Source organism: Homo sapiens, chromosome 5 (genome assembly GCF_000001405.40).
Source record: "Homo sapiens chromosome 5, GRCh38.p14 Primary Assembly".
Lineage (NCBI taxonomy): Eukaryota > Metazoa > Chordata > Mammalia > Primates > Hominidae > Homo > Homo sapiens.
The window spans coordinates 7668561-7692037 of record NC_000005.10 but is presented as its reverse complement, the minus strand read 5'-3'; the positions used below and the strand labels follow the sequence as shown (position 1 = coordinate 7692037).

Sequence of the window (23477 nt, the reverse complement as noted above, 5' to 3'; positions counted from 1 at the left end):
GGGAGGCGATTGGGCCAGAGGGGTAGATTTCTCCCTTGCTGTTCTTGTGATAGTGAGTGAGCTCTCACAAGGTCTGTTTAAAAGTGTGTGACACCTTCCCCTTCCCTCTCTTTCTCCTTCTCTGGACATGTAAAACGTGCCTGCTTCCCCTTCACCTTCTGCCGTGATTATAAGTTTCCTGAGGCCTCCCCAGTCATGCTTCCTGTAAGGCCTGCAGAACTGTGAGTCAATTAAACCTCTTTTCTTTATAAATTACCCAGTCTCAGTTAGTTTTTTATAGCAGTGCAAGAATGGACAACTACACCCAGCTAGAATGCAAAGCAGTGTATTAACATACTGAGTGGATGAAAGAACAAACCCCCAAAAGACGTGGTACTGGGAATGGGAGGGGCACAGAAATCGAGACGGTCTGGGTGGGCCTCGCTCTGCTGTGGCTCGGAGACAGGGGCAGGAGAGAAATGGGAGGGACAATCCTCTCCAGCCTGAAGTGAGGCCTCCTCATAATTTCTCTCTAGAGCTCATGGGAGACAGAAGCCCCACACCAATCTCTTTCCCTACTATAATCCCATGATGATAACATGTTAGTTTTCTAGGCACTGTAATTCCCAGAACGACTCCTGGGAAGTAGATATGAGTATACCAGTCTCAGAAAAGCAGTAACTTTCACGGTAAATTAGCTAAGGTGCACATCAGTGTTCTGTGACTTTGGTCACTGGTCTTCCAGACCTGAGAAACTCATCGTGCTGATGGAGAGAGGAACACCCAGCTTCCCTGGGATGTGTTGTCTTCACAGAGGCCCTGCTCCTGCAAAGTCTATTTGGAGGACTCAGTCTTGTGCCTGGAGATCCCACAGACTCTCCCTCCAATCTTACTGCAATCTGACCACGGGGTTTCCAGAATGAAGACCCCGCTGTCCCCTTCACTCCTTTCTGTGATGGATGCTTGGCTACAGAAGCCAGGGCTATGAAGGACAACTCAATCCAACACAGCAAACAGCATCCTATTTTCTCATCTTAATGTGAAGGCCCTGAGAGGCAGGAACAGGTGAGTGGGATGGCAGAATCTGTGTGATTATTTCCCCTGCAAAGGATCCACTGTCACAAAGGAGAGATGGTGATATGAGGTGTGAGATCCCAGGCAAAATGTCTCCAGTCAGGCAGACTCCCAGACCAGCCAAGGAGCAAGCATAGCGTCGTACCTCACGTTTGTATGCCGCTTCACATACAGGTTGTGGAAGTTATTTGTGTTCTCCATCTGGCCCGCCTTGGGGCCCTGCAGCCTCTGGATGATCTCCGCTTTCATCTCCATGGCGATGTGGGCCGGCAGCAGGGAGAGCAGAAGCCGCTCCTGGACAAGGTGGGGAAGGAGGAACAAATGTCTCTCAGACACCTCGGGGGATGACCAAATAACATTGGAGATCCTCACTGATTTGTAGGAAGGCCAGTTTGGGAATTCTTTCCTGGAAGCTAAAATACAGATTCTAGAAATATATATTGGGAATAAAAAGAGATTTTCTAAGGTCGGACTGTATCATTATATTATTTATTATTTATTGCATTCTAAGTGTGTGTTCTTCAGTATGAAGAATAAAGGGATGCAAAGTTATTTCCCCAAAGATTTTTAAATCTATTTTGATTTTAAAGTAGCAAAGCAGAAACAATATTAAAATTTCAGAAATCACTGGTCAGTCTAAGATAGAGAACACTCATTTTTGCCTGCATGTTCATTTCTGAGCTAAAATACTAGCTTTATTGCACTTAAGAAAGACAGCTGATATTCCACCTATTCCACATTTCTTAAATAAGATATATACTTCCAAAGATTTCGTTTCCTCTATAAGCACCTAATCCTCTTTAGAAATTCTAAGCTATTATAAAAATGGAGTCAGAAATGTTAGCTTCTGTAAAATGTCATCCATAAGAAACTACAGGTGGAACACAAGGAAATGATAACATATGAGCTTTTTGAGTACTTTTGGTCTTTATATTCAGTAAGTCCAGGAAACAATAAATATTAGTAAACAATATTGTACTCATTTTAACATAAACTTATTCTAGTTAGAGTGGCATTTTCTCATTCTCCTCAATGAAAATACACAATAGTTTTTGGAGGAAAAGTCTAACAGAAGGGTAATCTTCAGGACATATATCCATCCTGGAGAATTTTAATGTTAATCCATTTTAGAAAGCATCATATTCTTTAGCTATTGTAGAGTTTAGCAACTGATATTCAATGTTGATAAACAAATATTTGTTCAATGAAACACTTTATCTATCACATCTTTATCTATCACATTGTCTGTCTTTCTCTTTTTCTTTTTTTGGCAAGCTGATGAGGGATTAGGGGAGGAGGGGAAGCTCGGATTTGCTTCCAGGTTCACAGGGTCAGGTGTCTATCTCTTTGTCTACTCCTAGTGCACATCGCTTTGGTGGCTGTTGGAAACTTCTGCTGAGAGAGCTGAGGGTGGGTTAGGAGTACATTCTGATGATCCTTTCTCCCCGCTCATCCCTCCATGGAAAGACAAGGGCAAAGGCAACAGAAAACACAGTATGTGCTCATAGGGGAAGCTCAGTGTATAGAAGCTAGTTTCTCCATGTACTGGCATAACTGAGCATTGATCATTTGTTCATTCATTCATTCGCTTATTCATTTATTCAGAAAGTATCAATCTTTGAGCAATAAATGCCATGCCCTTTGAAAAGCACTAATGGTAAATTAAAGAAGGCTGCAGAGACTGCTCTGCTTCAGTTGCCCTTTTGTTTCCCAAGAGTCAGGCATTAAGCTTCCTCCAAACACCAGCCTGTCCATCTAGTCTCGTCTGACAGCAAGTGCACTGTGTGTTGAAGTCTTGGTTATGAATGATATGATACCAGAGACCCTGTCGCATTCTTCTTTGATTTACCATTAGCGCTTTTGAAAGGGCATGGCCTGATCCCGCTCTCGTCTCAGAACCCACTTGAAAAAACCAGGGGGTTTGTTCTAAGTTAATGTGCTTCTATTGCTAGCTTTCATCATCTTTATATAAAGAACTACTCCATCATCTACCCACATTTGGCTACTAATCCCCAAAACGCATAAACTTGCCACTTGTCTTCAATTTCTCTATGCTTTGGCCTCTGTGACTCATGAAATGGTTAGACCTTTGGGAAACTCTAAAGGTAATCAAACTCGTGATGTGCCCATGGAAGTGTTTAGCAGATAGAAGTTGCCCTGTAAGTTTAGGGATTGAGTTCTGCTAGTACTGCCTCCACTGAATTCCATTTCTGCAGGTCCTGAGCGTACACTACAGTGAGGCACCCTGTGGGTGGTCACTTCCTATTCTTTCTGTTTATTGATTAATAGATGGAATAATTGGGTGTGAGGCCAAAATATTACATACAAAGTATGTAATATCCAAAGTCTATTCATACCAATAGAGGAAAGCTGGTGAGGAAAGTGTGAAATTTCCATCCACAAACATCAAAGACCTGGTCAGGCACGGTAGCTGATACCTGTAGTCCCAGCACTTTGGGAGGCTGATGCGGGCAGATCACCTGAGGTCGGGAGTTTGAGACCAGCCTGGCCAACATGGTGAAACCCCATCTCTACTAAAAATAAAAAAAATTAGCTGGGCATGGTGGCAGGCACCTGTAGTCCCAGCTACTTGGGAGGCTGAGGCAGGAGAATCACTTGAATCTGGGAGGCAGAGGTTGCAGTGAGCCGAGACTGTGCTACTGCATTCCAGCCTGGGCAACAGAGTGAGACTCTGTCTCAAAAAAAAAAACAACAAAAAAAATCAGGAGATCTCTCTGGTCATATCCTCAGACATGAACAGAGGAGTCCCTGATGGGAGAAGGGAGGCATGTGGCTTTGAGGTTTCCCATTGAATCTGTCATAATCAAAGCAAGTACATGTTGAAAACAAATGTTAACTTCTAAAGCAGTGATAAGGAATATTAACAGGTAGACTATAAATAATTACGGGTCTGGATCTAGGCTATCTATTTGGAAATCCCAGTAGCATCTGTTCATCTACAGAGATGTCTTAAGATTGGCTTGATTAGATTAAAACCCATTTTGTACTCTTTCTGATGGGTGATGAGTCAAAGGCTGAGACAAGATGAAATGCACCAAGCCACAGGTGCTCAGTGTACATAACTCTCCATTAGCAGAGCTTATGATGATAACCTGTGTGTAGGTGGATTCAATACCATCTTCCATTGAATTTAAAACAATCAGTCAACTTTCCCAGTGTTTACATGAGTTTCTAGCTATGCTTCTTATAGCTGAGGCTGTCAATATCCTACTCATATTCCCTTCTTCCTTGCTTGGGGGTCACTGTAGATTGTTCCTTCCTGAATGTATGCTTTCCTGTGTGTCCGCTAATGAAGAGGTAGCTGATGAATAAATACTCCAGCTTTTGCAACAACATCCCTCAGTGAGAAATCGGTCGGCACATTGCTCAGAGAGTCCCAGGCAAGATTGAGCCCTGCTTCCACCATCAGCCCCTTTCATGAGCTAACTTCCCTCTTTGGAGGGAGCGGACCTCATGGTCCCACGCCCTCACCCTGCTAAAGAGAACCACTTCCCAACTAAATTACTGTAACCAGACCCTTGTCTTAGGATCTGCTTGTGGTAAACCTAACAGACTTTTCCAAGCATTGTCTCTCCTCCTCCTATATTCTGTAATAAGATTATGCTAAACCCCAAATCACACAGAGCCGGTCCTTCCTGAAAGATACAGATTCTAGGATCAAAAAAAGAGAATCAAATATAGTAATCCTTTTCCACACTCAGAGCCTCATTTAACAACCAAATGTAAGTTAAAATCTTTATTTTAGACCCAAATGTAGAAGGATGACTGACTTTTAATAGGTGGTTTAAAAAATATAGAAAGTAAACTTCATATGTTGTACAAAACAAGAATTTTTTCTTTTGTTGGAACTGCTAAAGAATCCATGTGAATTTAAGCTGAAATGAAGACGTTGGTAACTGCCACCCAGCCTAATAAAAGAACTCAAGCCTTCCCCCATCATTCAACACTGGCACCACTGGTGGATGGTAGATAGCACTGCACCTGGTGACAGCTCAGGGTCCATGCTTTGAGTGTGCATATGCCCTCTAGGTGATCACAGTGCTGGGCAATTGAATGAGTTTCCAAAAAAAGCCTGAGCTCAAAAGTGGTGAAGCAAGACTCCTTCTTTTAAATTTAAAATGTTCTGATCTGAAGGAAAAGCCCACTATTATGGCATCCATGATAAATTTCAGCCCAATTTGTAAAATCTGACAATGTTAATAATTCCATTAATATTTTAGCATTTTGCAAATGTAGCTGTGTGCCCTGCCAAATTATCTGAAAGCAACACACACACTTAAGTGCTTAATATACTGGGTATAACTTAGCTACATTATTTTCCCAAGTTTGTTGGAGAAATTCCTTAAGGATACTTTTGAAAAATTAAGTTGTCATTAAACTGATGGATGCACACTGGTTATTACTTCTTTCTCTTTCTAGTAAAGCTCATGCAACTACTGAGAATCTGTCTAATTTTGGCATATTCAAAGGTTATCTGATTAATAACTTGCCCTTGATTTGGGGGTTCCATTTAACACATCCCTTTGTTAAACCTCCAATTATTATTCATTAGCAATACATTTTTCTTAGAACTTGTTCTTTTAAATTATGTCTGATATAAGAGATACAGAGTTAATTTAGTAAATTTCAATGTACTAGTGATCAAAGTTCAGAACAATCTGAGCTCTGAAGTGTTTCTAAACTAATGAAGCAAGGCAGACATTGTAGCTACATTTTATGTCTTTTTTTAGACTATTTCAATTGGTAGGAAAATCCAATTGAAGCAAAGAAGACTTGTACTTAAATTTTAAGCTAAGATATAGAAATACATACTATACCCTGTTCCTTCAATAAACCATGCATGTAATAGATACTTAAAGCTCCTTTACTTTCCAAACGGGAGGATAACAATGAAACACTCCTTTCATATGAATCTTTAAGTTTTTCTTTTGTAATTCTTATTTTAAAGGCAATTTCAATTACATCAGGATGCTAAATCAATGGGATAAACAGAAAGGATGTTGTAAGTTTTTCTCCTTCTAAAAGAAAGTAGCTAACAGAGTGGACAAACACCAGATCCCTAAGCAGCCATTGGGCCACCTGTGGCTCCTTCACCCATGTACTTAGGAAACAGAAATCATTTCATAACGTCCTCCAGTATTAAAAAGCTAGTTGTCCATCAACACAAAATGTTGCCTATGCTGCACCTCCCCCAGCTCCTATCACGCATCTTCCTTTGCAGCAGGCTCCACGTCTCCAAGTCTCAGACAATAACAGTCCTCCTCCAGCCTCAGCCTTCATCACCCTGTTCTCCCAACAACTGCTACTGTTGCTGTTTCCCATTACAAAATTCAGCTTTTTCTTAGGTCCCTCAGTAGAATTTTTGCTTCATATCAATCAGTTAAAACTCTTACTCTTACTATTTGAAAGATCTTGCTTTATCTTTCTCTGACTTTTACAAAAAAAATTGGTCATCATATTCACATGGGATGGAGAATAGAAGGCATCGCAGTAGAAATGGCTCTGAAGTAGGAGAAGATGGGATTCCACCCTTTCTCTGCCACCTCAACCAAATCGGTCAGCCTTTGGTGCCCAGCTTGGTCATCTGGACAATAGGTCTGTTGGGCTAAGGAGTTGAAGGCCTCCATGTCCATGTAAGAGCACAGCTCTTCAAAGAACCATGGGAGGCCCTTTCTAGAACTTACTTTCCACCGTCCTAGAGATGACTACATCCTGCTGCACCCAAGTGCCCAACCACTAGCACCACGCAGAGGAAAGAACCCAAGGGATCAAATTCCCACACGGTGGCGAAGACTGCAAGTCCAGATGGCCTGAGGGCAAGGAGACTCCAAGTGGGATCCAGAACTAGCACCCAGGGAGGAGGCTGAGTCTGGGTCGTATGTTCCTTGCAGTGTCTCTGACTTGTGGGAGGAGGATGAAGAAGGGCTGAGATTACTGAGGAGCGACTTTAAAGGCCAGTGTTTTCATATCTGTGTGCAGAGGGAAAGTCAGCCTGCTTCTTTCACAGCCTAGGAAACTGGAATGTTTTGTGCATATTAAAGTCACTAGGCACTTCAGCAAATCAGGTGACCCTTTTATAAGACAGCAAGTGCTTTCCTTGCATGCATATCTTATTTTCTCACTTAACAAACCCTGGTCACATATAATATCATTTAGATTTAAACATGTTTTGACAAAAAAAAAAAAAAGGCACAACAGACATAGATGTGGCTCCAAGGGAGTGAAGCCAGGTGGTCGTCACCTGCGAGTTGAGACTGGATGGAACTCGTCTTCCAGCTTCACAGCCAGCTCTTTCCATCCAGCTGGATTTGCAGGTTCAAGGAGATGACCAGAACATTTTTAGAGAGTACATTGTTAAAAGATGCTGGAAAGAATGAAATTATCACTCACATGCGATGACTCTTCAGTTAGCAGTTAGAGAAGAAAGTGCTAATCAAGTCAAATTATAAAGTATGCCTTCAGTCACTGATGACAGTAAATTGGTATTTCTAAACCGGAACTGTTTATCATCAACAGTCAATTCAATTCTCTAAAATAGAGCCTCTAGGGAAATGAGAATCACTCAAAAGGTGGAAAAATATTCAATCCTTGGATAAGAGTCTATGGAGGTCATCAGATGAGAGCTGCAGCTGTGCTCCCTGGAATAGGCACAGGGCACCTTGTGGCACACCAGCACCCAAGTCAGCCCTGCAGGCTGGTGCACCTGCAAAGCCTGAGCAAGCATAGATCAGCACCAGTGTGAGAAAATCACCCAAAGGGGAATCTCATCCTGCAAACATGACCGCCACACTCACACACCATAAAGTGAAAAAGCAAAATGCTCCACAGGGGAGCCAAGTCTGATTTGACTTGCCTCTCAAAGAGTATCCATGCATAGGTAAGCAATGCCATCCAGTCTGACAGGGGCAATGCCAGTAGAGGCACGCTGGGGAGAGAATGGGTGAAGACAGACCATGCTCCTGGGCACTGGCCAAAAACCCTCAACATAAGGTACAGAAGGCCAGCCAGGTGGTGGCGCCAGCCTTTGGATTTCTTCTGAGGAGGAGGACAAAGTGGAGATGCTGATAATATCATTGACAGAAGGAGATAAGAAGAAGAAGGAAAAAGTGGTAGCACATTGGTATCGATTTGATGAAAGGTCCCAAGGAGCAAAACAGAATATTTTTTTATGTTCAAATGCAACCCCTCAGAGCAACTCTATGCTACAGATGACAGATACATGATGCAGTTATGTACATGCTACACTTGCAATGGACTGGACTATCGTTCTGAAATGTGTTGACTCTCCCTCCCATGCCCCCCTGGGAGGCAATGTACCTTGGTAGGACCAGTGACATGTAAGCAGCAGTGATATGTGCTCCTTCTAACAAAAGCCTTAAGAGCCACTGTGGGCCTCATCATGCTTTCCTTTCCCTCCTCTTTGGGACCAGCAGTGTCACAGATAGTGACTTTGAGCCTGGGTCCCATTCATGGTGCAAAGTGGCAGTCCCCCTACAGTGGACAAATACAAGTGAGAAACCACTATTGTTCAGCCACTTTGATTTGGGAGCCATTTTTATCACCGCTTACCCTAGCTATTGCGACAGATGCAAATTCATGCAAGTATGTGCACACCAACCTATGTCCTCCGTCCCTGAATGCTTAGGATTTTCTCAGCTGCTCTGACGTGGGGAGAGGTCACTCATTCACTCACGTGGTGTGCCCACAAGCTGCAGCTTCAGGGTAAAAGCTCTGGAAAGCCCCTCTGTGAAGTGCTGATTCTTCTCCCTCACGTAGAGTAAGAGGAGGTTGAGCCTTGGCAAGGCCATTCCACCTGTGAGGAGTCTTCAGGGCAGGGACCTCATGACTTTGAAGCCCACACTGGTAACCCCCACTTGTCTGCCTTGCAGTCCATGGAAAAAAAGGCTGAGAATGTGGTCGTTTCAGTGGTGTCAGAATTACACAGAGCAGGAATGATCCCACCGAGTACAGGGACAACTTTGTACTAATGTGCATTTCTTCCTCCAAAATAAAAACCAGAGGTCATGTCTCTAAAAGATTTTCTCTAACTAGAAGCTGGAGTCATGATAATTCACTCATTCTACTTCGTGGCAGATGTTATCCTACATGCAAATTATTGTTGTCTATATTCTCCAAAGTTTTAATTCTCATTGGATGCAAAAGTAATGGGGATTAATCAGCCAGTCCGGTTCCCATCCTTAAGAATGCTGGCAGCATAGCATTACCATCCTAAACTCAGGGAGGCAATGAGGCTCCTCTGAAAAGCATAAGAAAAGGAACACTATGATCTGTCCAGAGGGGCACAGACTCCAGCTCCCTCCCTGATGATGCTGAAACTGTGGGCTCACTTCCCTTCATCCTTGAGAATCAGCCCCTCCCAGATTCAGTCTTGAAGAGAAACAGAGCTTGGATGACAGGCTCCTCCCACATTCATGGTTCTCTTTTGGAGTAGGCTGTGCTGCCAAGCTTAGACGCTCGAATTTATAAAACCATCATGAGTATAAGAGAAGCTTGAAGGGGTGAGAATGAGCAACAGAAGGGGGCAAAGCCATGGGAGGGGAGACCAGACCCTGAAATAGCTCTGCTAACTTTCACCTTAAAGGGGGTCTATAAACTCATGTTTGCAGCATTCAAGGTTGTTGACTGAAAAAACGGGTCTCTTCTTTTGCACGGAAATGCACCCTCTCCTATTATTCCCAGGCGATTTTAGAACTGCTCTACTTGCATGCAGACAGTGTGCTCTTAATTCAATATTCTTTCTTCCACTCAACAAATATTTATCAACCACTTCCCATATATCAGTTCCAGGTCTAAACAATTTCTAAGTATTGTCTTGCTTAATTCTCTCAGCACTTAATGTTGTAGATATTATTATTTCTCCCATTTCTATGAAGAAGAAATTGGAGACCAAATAGGTTGCATGGCTTGCTAAACAATCCAAAGTAAGGAGGTGGAGGAGTTGGGATTAGAACCAGTGGGAGGAAAGTAGTTAGTGGTTAATTGCTCTTAAGCAGTTTGCTAAACTTTACCCAGGAAAAAGGGACAATACATAAATAGGTGCAAGAATAAATAATGTAGCTCCAGCTGGGGACAGGAGAGCAATCGTTCCATAGTGAAGTGTCTTAGGGCATGACTGATTTTCTTTTATTTCAGTGGGGACAATGGCCCCCCTTTTTTTAAATGGTTTTGAAGTCAGAGATTTGAACCCCAAAGCAAAACTGCTCTTGGGGCGAGTACCACAAGTATCCCACACTGTCGGCAAACTCCCAATCTCTCCCCACCAAGCCAAGCCCAATCCAGGCTGGAAGCACCCCTGGGTGAGAGTTGGTGCCCAGAGCAAAATTGTAGCCAATATCAGAAGGCTTCCTTTGAAAATATTGTCAACTGGGGAGATTTCCGGAAAAAACTGCACTGCATTTCTCTCTTGAACACATGACTGAATCCTGAAGCGGTCACATACATTTTCTGCTGTGAATGCTTGGGAAGGTGAGCCTAGGACACTCTCGCACTGAGGCAGATGTCCACACCTCTGCATATTTGTTCTGATAAATTAAGTGCTCCATGCCAGCTCCCACAGAAAAGCCTCCAAAGATACAACCCAGGAGATAACAGCCTTTAAATATTGTGCCTGTCTTCAAACACTAATTGTCCCTGTGGGCACTGATGTAGTTGATACCAAGAGATGTACCCATCATTTCTGCATAACAACTTTTCAGGAAAGAATAATAAGTGAAGAAAGAAAGGCTGCAGAACTGTTCTAATTCTCACTCTGCTCATGAAACAATGTCCTGAGCTTCTTCAGATAAGGATTAAAGATGCAAAAGGCAACTGCAGGGAAGTCATCACATCAGAAAGCGGAAAGCCTGTCACGATCCTGGAATTTTATTAAATGTAACTCAATGACTGCAGCTCAAACTCAAAAATAAAGGTGTTCTTCTGCTGTAGCTTGCTTGGCTATCAATTTTCTACACATACATATCCTATTTCTGTACCTATGTTGCTGGCACATGGTATTTTTTAAGCTTTCTCTTTGTCTTTAGAAAATGCATTTTAGTAATTAGAATGCAGATTTTCTTTCAGGGACTCCTCCTTCTAAGCTTCACCAATAGCTTTGTCTTTGGAGGAAATCACATCAAATATTAGCTAAAAACAGGCTGTCATGTGTCCCACTACCTGACAAAAATAAACCATGGCTTAGAGCTTACAGAATTTAAGAAATCAATCATGTAATGCATTTCCTTGCAAGTTACATAGGATGAAAACTCAAGTTTACTTTATATATGTAATGCATTGAGAAATCTTGATTGGGTGTGTTTTCTCACTCGCTTATTGAATCTGAGTAAGTTCTTAAGACTAGCCAAAACTTTAAGTCCAGAGGAAGGCAACTGGCAGCCTGTGGACTGAGCCTGGTCAGTCAGATGTACTCTGATTAGCTTGCAGAGTGCATAGTTATGTGTACATGTTTAAAGAATTTGAACCCCTTCAGATAGGTCATGCACTGTACAGCTTACCACAGCCCTTGCCATTCCTTAATGACTTGCAAGTTCACTGCACACATTTACCACATCTGCCTATACTCTAAACCATGGTTTCTCACCCTCAGCGCTATCAGCATTTTGAGCGACATGGCTCTTTGCTGTGGGGGGCTGACGTGCAAACTGCAGGATATTTAGCAGCATCTGTCCAGTAGACTGAGACATAGACTAGACTTTAGTACCCTTTACCCACCAGAGGTCAGCAAGACCCCCAACCCCTTTTATGACAATCCAGACTGCTCACAAACATTGACAACTGTTTCCTGGGGGGTAACAGTCTCCCTCTGGTTGAGAAACATTCCTCTAAATATAAGACTTCTCCTCTGGACTTTTAACCTAACTAATTTCCCCTATACTCTTCCCCTTCATTTACCTCTGTTCCTCTCCACCTTGGACTCTGTGGCCCATCACTTTCACTGTTGTCTTGCCCCTGTCATTCCAGAATGGCACCTCTCCAGGACATCACTAGGATGTACACCATCACTTCTCACATGCCATTGGCTATACCGAGCACTAAGGGATGCAGTGACATATCTCTATTCTGGGTGAGACGTACCCAGCCACAGAGATCATCTTACAACAGAGGAAGAAGAAGAGAACAAGTACTGGGAGACAATCCATTGGTCTCTGTCACATGCAGAGAACTCAAATGCAGCTGTTTGCAAATGGAAACTGTCACCTTCCCTCCAAAAGCTGTCCCTCCGTTTATAATCTTAGCGTAGTCAATATCTGCCCATGTGCCCAGCTGCCCATGCAGAAACCTGCTTTCATACCTGACTGTTCTTTCCTTCTTACCAGTCCACATCCAGTGAAGCAGGCTCCTGCCATTCACACTTCAGAACCTGCCCCTTCCTCAACCTACTGCTCTGCCCAGTTCTCAGCAACCTCTGTCACCTAGAGAATCACCTCCTAACTGGCTTCTCTCCTCCTGTCCTCCTTTTCCCTCACCTTCTCTTCTGCAGTGGGGGTCTTTCTAAAATGGGAAGCAGTCAAATAAGCTCAGCTCCAGCTCTGAAGTCTTCTAACACGTTGGACAAGGCCAAAGCCCTTCAGTATATTACAAGATATGATATACCCCAGGCATCCCACCTTCTTTATTTCTTCCTCCTCCTTTCTTTGACCCTGCAGCCTCAGACCCGCACTGGAGCACGCTCCCCCGGGACCTGGATGGCTGGTTCCATCACGTCATTTCCACCCAGTCCTTTGCTAAGGCTATCCCCACCAATTCTCCAGACAAACTTTCAACCACCTCCTCCCTAAGGATGCCCTCCCCACCCACAGCTAGGCTAGGTGCTGTGTGCTGTGTTAGCTGTCAACATTCACTTTGCTAATGGCTCCTGAACTCTGCCAAAGTCACCTGTTTGCTTCAAGCGTAGGTGTTAGTGAGCCCAGACTGTGCCTTCTTCAATATTTTGTTCCCAGTACAGAACACAGAGGCCATTGCCTGGCATAGGAAGACAAACAATAAACATTTGTTGGATGGATACAGGAGTGAATGCATGATTGTGTGACCGAATGCCTCATTACACTTTGAATAAGATTTCACTGAGGAACTCATTAAATAATCTGATTTTTCAATGACAGAAGCCAGGAGAACATTCTGGCCTCAGCTCTGTCACTCTTTAAGTGGACAATGGGTAAATTACATAACCTCTTGACCTTTCGCCTGAGAAATGATGAGGTATATTACTGCTGTCTCTTTCAGTTCTAGGTGTCTCCCATTCAACAAGGTGTCAGGAGGAAATGGTAAGACATCCTTGAGGGTGACAGCAGAAAAGTAAATACACTTTGAATTCTATTTTTGGTTACTGTTGAACACCTATGTGTCTTCTCCATTAGAAGAACTGATTGGAAGATGTATATAAATATATATGTATATGTTATGTATATTATGTGTGTGTGTACATCTCTCTCTTTCAATTTTATCACAATATGCATTATTGATATGCATGCATAGATTTCCAGGGGAACTGCAGAGAAGGAAGAGTACTTTAATTCTTTCCAATGTGTTTCTCAAAGGTCTTCTGATATCTGATCTTTCTAGGGCTGATGAAGCAACATTCTCCTTTCTGTTATTCTGTAGGTACAAGTCCAAGCGCTCATGTTAATCACATCGTTGAACGCTACTCCTGTGGCTGACTCCAGCTACACGCCATGACAGAAGACATGTGGCCCAGAATTGAGTGTGGAAGAGCCAAAAAGGGAATGAATAACTTATAAACTGCAGCCCTGCCAAAGTGAAAAGAAGGCAAGTTTTCTGCCAGGAAGCAGAAATCAAGATCAGCATGGAAATGGAAGTCATGGCTAATGAGAAAATGCTATATTACATTAAAAAATATTTATTGATTAATTTGAATAAGTACATTAGCATAAACAAACTCAGGAATTCTCAACTTTGTCATGCCAACAAAAATATTTATCAAACAGTAAACAGATGCTTAAGAGTACTAAATTGACATGTATAAAGCTGAGTCTGGTAAAATATTAAATCTTATGCAGAGATTTCTAAGGAAAATAATGTGTTATTCTCACCAGCTATGCACCCACGCTGACTTGAGCTCAAGCCTGGCTTGGTTTAGGAAGCATTAATATTTCAATCATCTATTGCTGCAAAACAAATCACCCCAAAACTAGTGGTTTGGAACAACAATGATGGATTTTCTTCTCCTGATTCAGTGGGCTGGGTGGCTAGGTACTGGGTCCTCCTGGTTTTGCTGTCAACAATCCCATGATTGTGCTCGGCTGGAAGGTGGGCTGACCCTACAAGCTGGCCCCAGTGACATGTCTTTCTGGCCATTGCTGCTGGCCATGGGCTGGGACTTTGGGTCTTCTCCATGTGGAGACTCATTCTCTGCCAGGTTGGACTGGCTTCCCTAATGGTGTTCTCAGGGCAGCAGTCCCAGGAAATGAGAGAGGATCTTCAAGAACTTATAAGGCCAGGACTCCAGAATTCACAGTCACTACCCTATTTCCTGTTAGTCAACGTAAGTCCCAAGCCCTCCCAGATTCAATCGTGGAGAGGAACCGTTCATGTTTTCCATCTGCCACAGCTTGGATGACAGGCTCCTCCCACATTAATGGTTCCAAAGGCTTGGTGGAACCAAGGGTTAAGTAATTTCTTTTTTTTTGTTTGTTTGTTTTTGTTTTTTCTAGATGGAGTTTCTCTTTTGTTGCTCAGGCTGGAGTGCAGTGGCGTGATCTCGGCTCACTGCAACCTCCACCTCCTGCGTTCAAGCGATTCTCCTGCCTCAGCCTCCCGAGTAGCTGAGATTACAGGCCCGTGCCACCAAGTCCTGCTAACTTTTTGTATTTTTAGTAGAGATGAGGTTTCACCATGTTGGCCAGTCTGGTCTCGAACTCCTGACCTCAGGTGATCCGCCTGCCTCGGCCTCCCAAAGCGCAGGGATTACAGGTGTGAGCCACCGCACCCGGCTGGGTTAAAGAATTTCTACAGTGAATCTGGGGGCTCAGGTCCTCTCCATAAGGGGCCCTGAGAGCAGGCAATACAGAAACTCCAACTTCAAGTCCAGTTTCAGCTACCTAAATTCCAGTTTGAATTTCTGTGAATTCACCTTGTGTCCAGTTCTATATTCAATATATTTCTCTTCTGTTCATTCTTGTCCAAACGTATGGCCAAGGCTGGACTGAAACTCCACAGGATAAGACACAGAAGGATTGGTCCTTCTAGGAGGACATAGGGTGAATACGCAAATTATTATCACTCAGCTCACACTGTGGCTTCTACCTCAAATTAACATTTGGCAAATAATTCTTAGAAATGCCTTAAAACAAACAAGACAGACAATGGAAATGAAGCAGCTGTCTACAAATGCAGTGACTCACTTTCAGTTTATTTTAAGACTGTTGTAGACGTAAATCCATATGAATTATCTCAGAAAGTATTTTTTTTTTAATTCATGTTGATGTTTTGTCAAGAAAATTAAAGTAAACAAAAATTAGACAGGTTTGAGAAGATTTAATAAACAATTTTGAACAAAGAAAGAAGGAAATTAATGAAATGACATTTAGGTATGTTTCATGATTCATCCTTTAGTGATCCATTGAAATATCTGGGACTGTTCTGTTCTCTATTTAGTGACTATCTATTTAGTGATTTTACTTAAATACTTTTTTGCTAGCTGATAAAAGCACACCATACCACTACCCGTAGCAAGATGTTCTTTGCATATGATATAAGCAATTATGACAGAGCAGAAGATCCTTAAATGTTCAAAACTCTCAATTCAGTAGATGAATCTCAGGCTTTTTATGCAACTTGGATTCAAAACTGAAACTCACATCAAATGTCTGATCCTCACTCATCATTTACCCAATACTGCAAAGCTACAGAATAGAGTATCTTGTTTTAAAGTAACACATCTGAAAAGTAAAACAGAAGTATTTATTAACTTTCAAAGTGATTATTTCAAAAACATCATATAATAAATACTTGAATTCACAAATGTTCTCCTGTAGCTAAATGTTCTTTATCGGGAAAACTATACACTCGCTAGTCTTAACTTGCTAATATCATCAACATAATACCAACGATATCAATTACCTAGTAAACTCATTGGAGTCCTCTACTACTGCTAAAAGAACTTCAAGCCTAAACATGCCCACGAAGTTCATAATTGGATCCAGTCCTACCTACACACCTGCCCACCATTTCATTAACATTCTAGAGAGTTGTGGCTGCTGATTCTTCCCTGCACAGTCTCTCCTGATATATTTTGTTTGGTTTTGTTACTACTTCTCCTTTAAAATCTGCTCTTGCCCCACAGTGGTAGGGGATCGCAGGGTTAAAGGAATTAATATCCACAATGGAACAGTGCCTGGTTTGCAGAAAACCTTCATATGTTAGCCTCGACGGGCGCAAAGTCTCTTTTGACAAGTTCAAGCCTACATGCATCCTTCTTTTCTCTGAATTAGGATGGCACATAGTCAGTAGTGCCCCTTGTCACTTAATTATTCTGTAACTCTTTCACTTACATTGGTCATCCCAGTTGCCCTCCAAATCATTTGGTGGGGGAAGGGCAGGCAGAAATAATGCATTTTATTTACACATTCTTTGCACTTCCAGATGTTTATTTCACTTATTTAATAATGATCAATAATTATGGTTCCATTTTTTGATAACCATAAAGATATGAATACGGGTGGCCAAATATTAGTGTCATATTAAAACGATTGGGTAGAACTTCCCTATACAATACCTAACAAAATAGACCAACATTTCTTTTTCTTTTTTTCTTTCTTTTTTTTTTTTTTGAGACAGAGTATCACTCTTTCACCCAGGCCGGACTGCAGTGGCGCTATCTCGGCTCACTGCGAGCTCTGCTGCCTCCCGGGTTCACGCCATTCTCCTGCCTCAGCCTCTCGAGTAGCTGAGACTACAGGTGCCCGCCACCACGCCCAGCTAATTTTTTGTATTTTTAGTAGAGACGGAGTTTCACCATGTTAGCCAGGATGGTCTCGATCTCCTGACCTCGTGATCCGCCCGCCTCGGCCTCCCAAAGTGCTGGGATTACAGGCGTGAGCCACCGCGCCCAGCCAAAATAGACCAAATTTCTAAAATGCAACAAAGGAAATTCACCACTACAGCCACGACACAAAAAAGGTCATGGTTCAGTATTATAAACTTCAAAAATCAGTGGCCAAGAGGAGAAAGAAGATTCCAGAGCTAAGCATAAGATGGAGGTGTGCTTGACTTTTAACCCTCCCCACCCCTCCAAGCAGTGGCTCAGAACTGACAAAGTCAGAGAATTCTTCTGAATACCCACAAAGTGGGGCTAACAGCTATATTCAATTTCAGACCTAAGGATGATGAAAATCATTGCTTGGTTGGAAACACAGAAAGTGTTTTAAAAAATGAATAAAATGGAACAGTTTCTCTTGGTTAGAAATGAAGCCTTCCAGGCTGAGGAATGGATGGAACCCCAAGTTTGTCCTCCTTGGCAAGAGATCTGCTCCCCTCCAGGGGGTGAGCACACTCGAAATGGCGCGTAACCAAACACAGGGAGAAAGCCAGCCCTGCTGTCCTGTGGGCGCCCTCCCCGCACCAATACTTCCCTCTGCCCGCCTCAAAGCAGATAGAGCACTAAGTACGTAAACTGCACCCACCCCACACCGAAACCACTGAATCGCCAGCCTCCCATACAGCGGGAAAAGGGGTAAGATGTGAAGGCCAGGAGCCTGGAAATACGATGCTCCTACTGGCTCCCAAATGAAGCAGAAAACAACCTCACCACGACCACCACCACAAGTGCAAGGAGTGATGCCGTGGGGGCCAGGAGGGAGCAGTGGGGGTCAATCCAACACCGAAGCTAGGGACAGCTGACGACACACGCTGAGACTGGACCCTACCCTCTGAGGCCCCTGCCAGCGGGCGGCTAAACCCAGGGAACAGCCTTTCCTCCTCCTTCATCTTCCAGTGGATCATTTTCTCCCACTGGACACATGGGTGTAAGGAACTAAGAGTGCTTAGGTGCCCTGACAACGTAAGTTTATCGGGGGGTAGGAATCCCAGAACACATTCCAGTGGCCTCACAGACATGCCTCAAATAGAATGGAAACAGCTTCCAGGATACAACAGCCCTGGAGGCTGCCCTTCATGATCTTGCCTCCCAGCCCTGCTCTGAGGCCTCTGGCTACTACGTATTGTCAGGGTCTCAGCTTCCCCTGTCCCCCACCTCTTGCCTATTGGCTTTCCTGCGGGGCTGCATTCTAAACCAGTGGTTGCAACCAGGGACAACTTCATTCCCCACACGAGTGGAGGTTGGGCAGAGCCTGGAGAAAGGCTACTTGGACCCAGTGGGCAGAGGGCAGGGATGCTGCTATGCATCCTGCAGGGCACAGGGTGGACCCTACCTCGATGAAGTACCCAACTCCAATGCCCACAGTGCTGAGGTGCAGAAGCTGGCTTAACACAGGCTATCACATCAGGTTTCGTGCACATTGTAGGTTTGTTTGATTTGTTTTGTTTTGTTTTGAGACGGAGTCTCACTCTGTTACCCAGGCTGGAGTGCAGTGGCTTAATCTCAGCTTTCTGCAACCTCCACCTCCGAGCTCAGGTGATTCTCATGCCTCAGCTTCCTGAGATGCTGGGACCACAGGCATGTTCCACAACACCTGGCTAATTTTATATATATATATATATTTTTTTTTTTTTTTTTTTTTTTTTTTTTTTGGAGAGACAAGGTTTCACCATGTTGCCCAGGCTGGTCTTGTAGTCCTGAGCTCAAGTGATCCACCTGCCTTGGCCTCCCAAAGTGCTGGGATTATAGGCACGAGCCACTGCACCCAACCATTGTTAAGTTTATAAAATTCGGTTTTGCTTAAGCATGTGATGAAGTAACTTGGTTAATAAAATTACATGATATAGTACTCCTGACCCTTCCAAGGAGGCATGTCCTCTGTGTGGTGTGGGATACTATAGTGTCTCCAGCCTCAGAGGAAAGAGGCAGAGTCACAGCACTGTGGGATGACATCCCAGGACATGGAGCCTCCATTCAGGCGGAGCAGAGCAGGGGCTGGCATACCACCCCTGTAAAGGGCTGCAAGTGAATAGTTCAGGCCTTGAGCACCATGGCCTCTCTGCCATGACTACCCAACTCTGCCACTGTAGACTGTAAGCAGCCATAGCCAATGTGCAAATGAATGAGTGTGGCTCTGTGTTCCAATAAAACTTGATTTGTGAAAAATAAACAATTTCATATAATTTTCACTTGTAATAAGATACATATATTTAGTTTTTAAAACATCAGCCAGAAGTGGTAGCTCACACCTGTAATCCCAGCTACTCGGGAGGCTGAGGCAGGAGGATCCTTTAAGCCCAGGAGGTCGAGGCTGTAGTAAGCCATGATGGCACCACTGCCCTCTAGCCTAGCCTGGGTGATAGAGCAACACCCTCTCTCTTAAAAAAAAAAATCATCTAACAATATAAAAACCATTCTTAGTACTCAGGCCACATAAAAACAGGTGGCAGGCCAGATTTGACCCACAGGCGGTAGTTTGATGACTCCCAGTATAGAGAAAGTTCCCTTGAAAAGTTTCAAAGTTAAAGGCATTGCAGACACATTAAAAATGTCACTGACAATTGAATTAAGGACAATAAAGTTTATATCCTTCATCCGAAGGGCATTTTTACTATTATCTCCATAATTTGACACTCACAGCTTACTTAACATGTTGTACTTTACAATAAAAGCCATACAATAGATCTTTTAGAAAATAATAAATTTTAAGTTATCACTGAGTTCTCAGCTGAGAAGGAGAGTGTGGTAGCTTTGGAGTCAAGAGTCTGGATCAAATCCCACCCCACCACCTCCTTGTGTCCTGATAGTATATGGGCTTATGCAGGGACCTGGCCACGTCTGAATTTAGGTGACTGCTTGCTACTGAGATAGCAGCCATCAGAGAGCACAAAAGTCACTGCACCAAAACCAGAAAATGGAAATTCAAGTCCAAGCTCACCCACTCATTTGAATGAGACTCCAAGTCACTCCCTAACCTTCCGGGGCATCATTTTCCTCACCTGAAAATGAAGGGGCCGGACTAACACTCTGAATATCTTTCTTGCTGTAGAAGCTGGTGAGTCAATACTTCTACAACATGTATTTTTAGATAAAGCCAAAAAAAAAAAGTCTACTTGAGTGTAGCTGCAAACAAAAGTATCTCATTTCCCCACTCAGTAGCTAATTCTCTAGCAGTCAGAATTCAAAACACATGTTGCTTGATTTACGGTGGCAACCAGTAATTTGTGTGAGAAAGACTTAATTTAGAAGAACGCACATGTCATTTTTTTTTCATCACCAAGTAAGAGTTACAATTAGTTTGATTCATATGCTGTCACGGATGTCTCCACCACACTCATAGTGAACAATAAGAAGTTTCCAAGGCAGCTCTTTGATGGAGAGAACTATTTCTCAGTTGTGTAATTAATACTAAACATAAATCCTCCTCCGTTTCCCTGTTGACTATCCCATGCTCACTCGAGCATCATTGTCTATGAGTGATCATTAAGTAGAAAAACCACTGAATATGTTTGTTTTTTTACTGAATTTTGTTTTGTAGCATTTTGCCTTTGGGAAATTGCCAAAATTAGTAGTGAAATGCCCCAAATAACCAGCTGAAAAAGTTGGGAAATACCTTAACTTTTTTTCCCATTATGACACATATCTTAAGCAAAATTTTAACAATATGATTCCATTGAAAACCAGATCAATCAAAATGTTTTCTAATGCTTGTTATACAAATAAAGAAGATGCAAGACTGGATTTAAAATACACATAGGCATGCTGTTCATAGCTGAAGAACTGAAGTGGTCATGATCATTTCTAGTTGCAAAATTCCTCTCTTGCCTAACATCTGTCTCTAAAATAATTAAAATCACATTAAAGATTGATTTCCTCAAGAAGAAATAAAGCACTACCCAGAGACGGAATCTTAGAAAAGTTATCACATGGGATATGGAATAGCAGATATGGGATCAATGGAGTTCATTTTAGAGTAGGGGTCCCCAACCCCCAAGCCAAAGACTGGCTGGCCTGTTAGGAACTGGGCCGCAGAGCAGGAGGTGAGTGGTGGGTTAGTGAGCATTACCGCTTGAGCTCCGCCTCTGCTGTCAGATCAGCGGCAGCATTAGATTCTCACAGAAGCATGGACGCTATAGTAAACTGTGCACGGGAGGGATCTAGGTTGCGTGCTCCTTATGAGAATCTAATGACTGATGATCTGAGGGTGAACAGTTTCATCCCAAAACCATCCTCTCCCCTGATCTGTGGAAAAATTGTCTTCTACAAAACCCGTCCCTGGTGTCAAAAAGGTTGGAGATGGCTATTTTATAACATGCATGTGTGCACATATTCCATGTACCATTGAGCATATATTTCTAGTATATAAACCAAGTTTTTGTTTTCTGTTATAAGGTTAAATAATAGCATAGTAGTATATGTGCTGAATAAAGCCATTCAGTCCATGTACATTTTGTCACAAAAATAAATATAACCATTTTTTAAATGATCAAATATTTTACACACAATACCTACTCAATCAATATTGAGAAAATGGATATTATTATGAGACATAAGCTCAGTCCCATCGGCTCGGGCTATCACAGTCTCTTAAACTAGGTAGACACGGAATAATCAAACTGGTTAGAAAGAGGCAGAGTGAAAAGTGGGAGGGGCACCACCATCTTTCACCACTGAAAGGCCCTCAGTGCCACGCCTCCCTGTAGTGTTTGCAGGTCTCATAGTCCATATGGCCTATTTTTAGGCTGATTATGCAGTGTTTTTCATATACTGGGCAATGAATGAAAATAAATACATTAAAACCCAAAATATTAAGTAAATGAAAAAATAACATTGGTGACAACTTAACTGTCTGGAGTGGTTACCCTGAGCCAGGCACCATGTGCTGGGCCATAAGAAACACAGAAAGCCCATATGTTGGGAATGGTGACTATGCCCATAAACCATTGAGGAACATGACCTAAGCTCACATTGCCTGGGGGTGGCAGAGCTACAGTATCCCAAAGCCATCCTCTACATAACCCTGCCCGTGTCATCTATCCTGTCTCTGAAACAACAGTATCTTTCTAAATGCAAAAGCTAACCCTGCTGCTTGCAACTTTAAACTCTTCAGTGGTTCCCCATTGCCGGCAGCAGTGGCTTTTGACCTGTGTGATTAGGATTGATGGACTGGAAGAAAACCCTGTGCACGTACACACTGATAATAAATAGAGAGAGATGTAACTGGAGCAACTGGTTCCCCCCACAAAAACTTACCTTTTTTACATGAAATGCGCTGACATTTTCTATTCTATTCTGTAAAAATGCAAATTGCAACCCATGGAATTGATTTCATGACCCACTAACCAGTGCCACGTAAACTGAAAACCACCCATCTGAATGGTAAAACGTAAATTCCTTGGCCAGGGATACCAAGTTTTCTGGGATCTGGATTCTCATCTCTCAATGTGATCCCAATGCACCCAGATCCTCCCCTATATCATTTGATTTGCAGTTCTCCCAATGAATGGTCTCCCGAGCTTTGTGTACAAACTCAGCCCTCTGACCTACCGTGTCCATCTGGGAACTCCTGCTTAGACTCACACACCTGGACAGTCCTAGATTGTCTGGCTTCTCACCACCCTTCGACCCAGGTAAGTATTTATTAGTTTAGAGGGGAAGAGATATTCCTTCTGCTTTACTTGGCTATTTACTGTATTGGAATTTGGACTTGGCTCATCTACACTCTTGATTCCTTTTGTTCCTACCAGTGTATTCCCTCTAATTCTTGTTCATTTCCTCCTTTTTAGAAGTGTCAGCAGTTCAGGTGATTCCCACAATATTCACAAGGTGCACTGCTTCCCACCATCAGGCCCAGGATGGCTGCCTGCTGTGCCTCCTCATACTGGGTGCAGTTAGAACCAGGCACATTTCAATATAGAATTATGTTTCAGGAAAATAGTGGAGTAGACATGGATTCCAGGCTACTCTTAAATTAGTAAAGACTGGAGCTATGGTGGATTTCAGGCTATTCCAAAATTAGTATAGACTGAACAAGTTGTTGAGCAACATCACATCCTCATCACACTTCACATCTTTGGGTTGGAATTTCAGAGCAGCTGGCATCTTCTGATGCCAAGCTGATCTCAGATGACTGGAAGATGAAAGACAAGAAAACCTTTGTCTGACAAATGTCTTAGCTATAAGACAAGTAATGCCATACTCTTTTCTCTCCACCATTAAAAACACACCCTTTCTGTTCATATCAATTATTTTTCCCCACATAAACATATTTATATTAAAAAACAAAAACTCTTGTTTTCTAGATCAGTATTTTCAAATGTGTGCTTATTGT

General features: G+C 42.8%; 1 protein-coding gene across 5 annotated transcripts in view, besides 1 other annotated feature; it reads right to left on the bottom strand.

Moving 5' to 3' along the window:
• The window catches only part of ADCY2 (adenylate cyclase 2), a 433944-nt gene that overhangs the window by 138044 nt on the left and 272423 nt on the right, over positions 1-23477 (bottom strand). For all 5 annotated transcript variants that reach the window (NM_020546.3, XM_011513942.3, XM_047416645.1 and 2 more), the window contains exon 5: positions 1199-1347. In NM_020546.3, coding sequence (NP_065433.2) covers positions 1199-1347 — 149 coding nt within the window. The remainder of the gene's footprint in view (positions 1-1198; positions 1348-23477) is intronic.
• Positions 8352-8538: a silencer, noted in NCBI's record as "fragment chr5:7683613-7683799 (GRCh37/hg19 assembly coordinates)". NCBI's record gives its function as "represses an EF-1alpha promoter that drives an FKBP-Casp9 reporter gene in an ReSE screen in K562 erythroleukemia cells {active_cell/tissue: K562}" and the evidence as "EXISTENCE:reporter gene assay evidence [ECO:0000049][PMID:32094911]".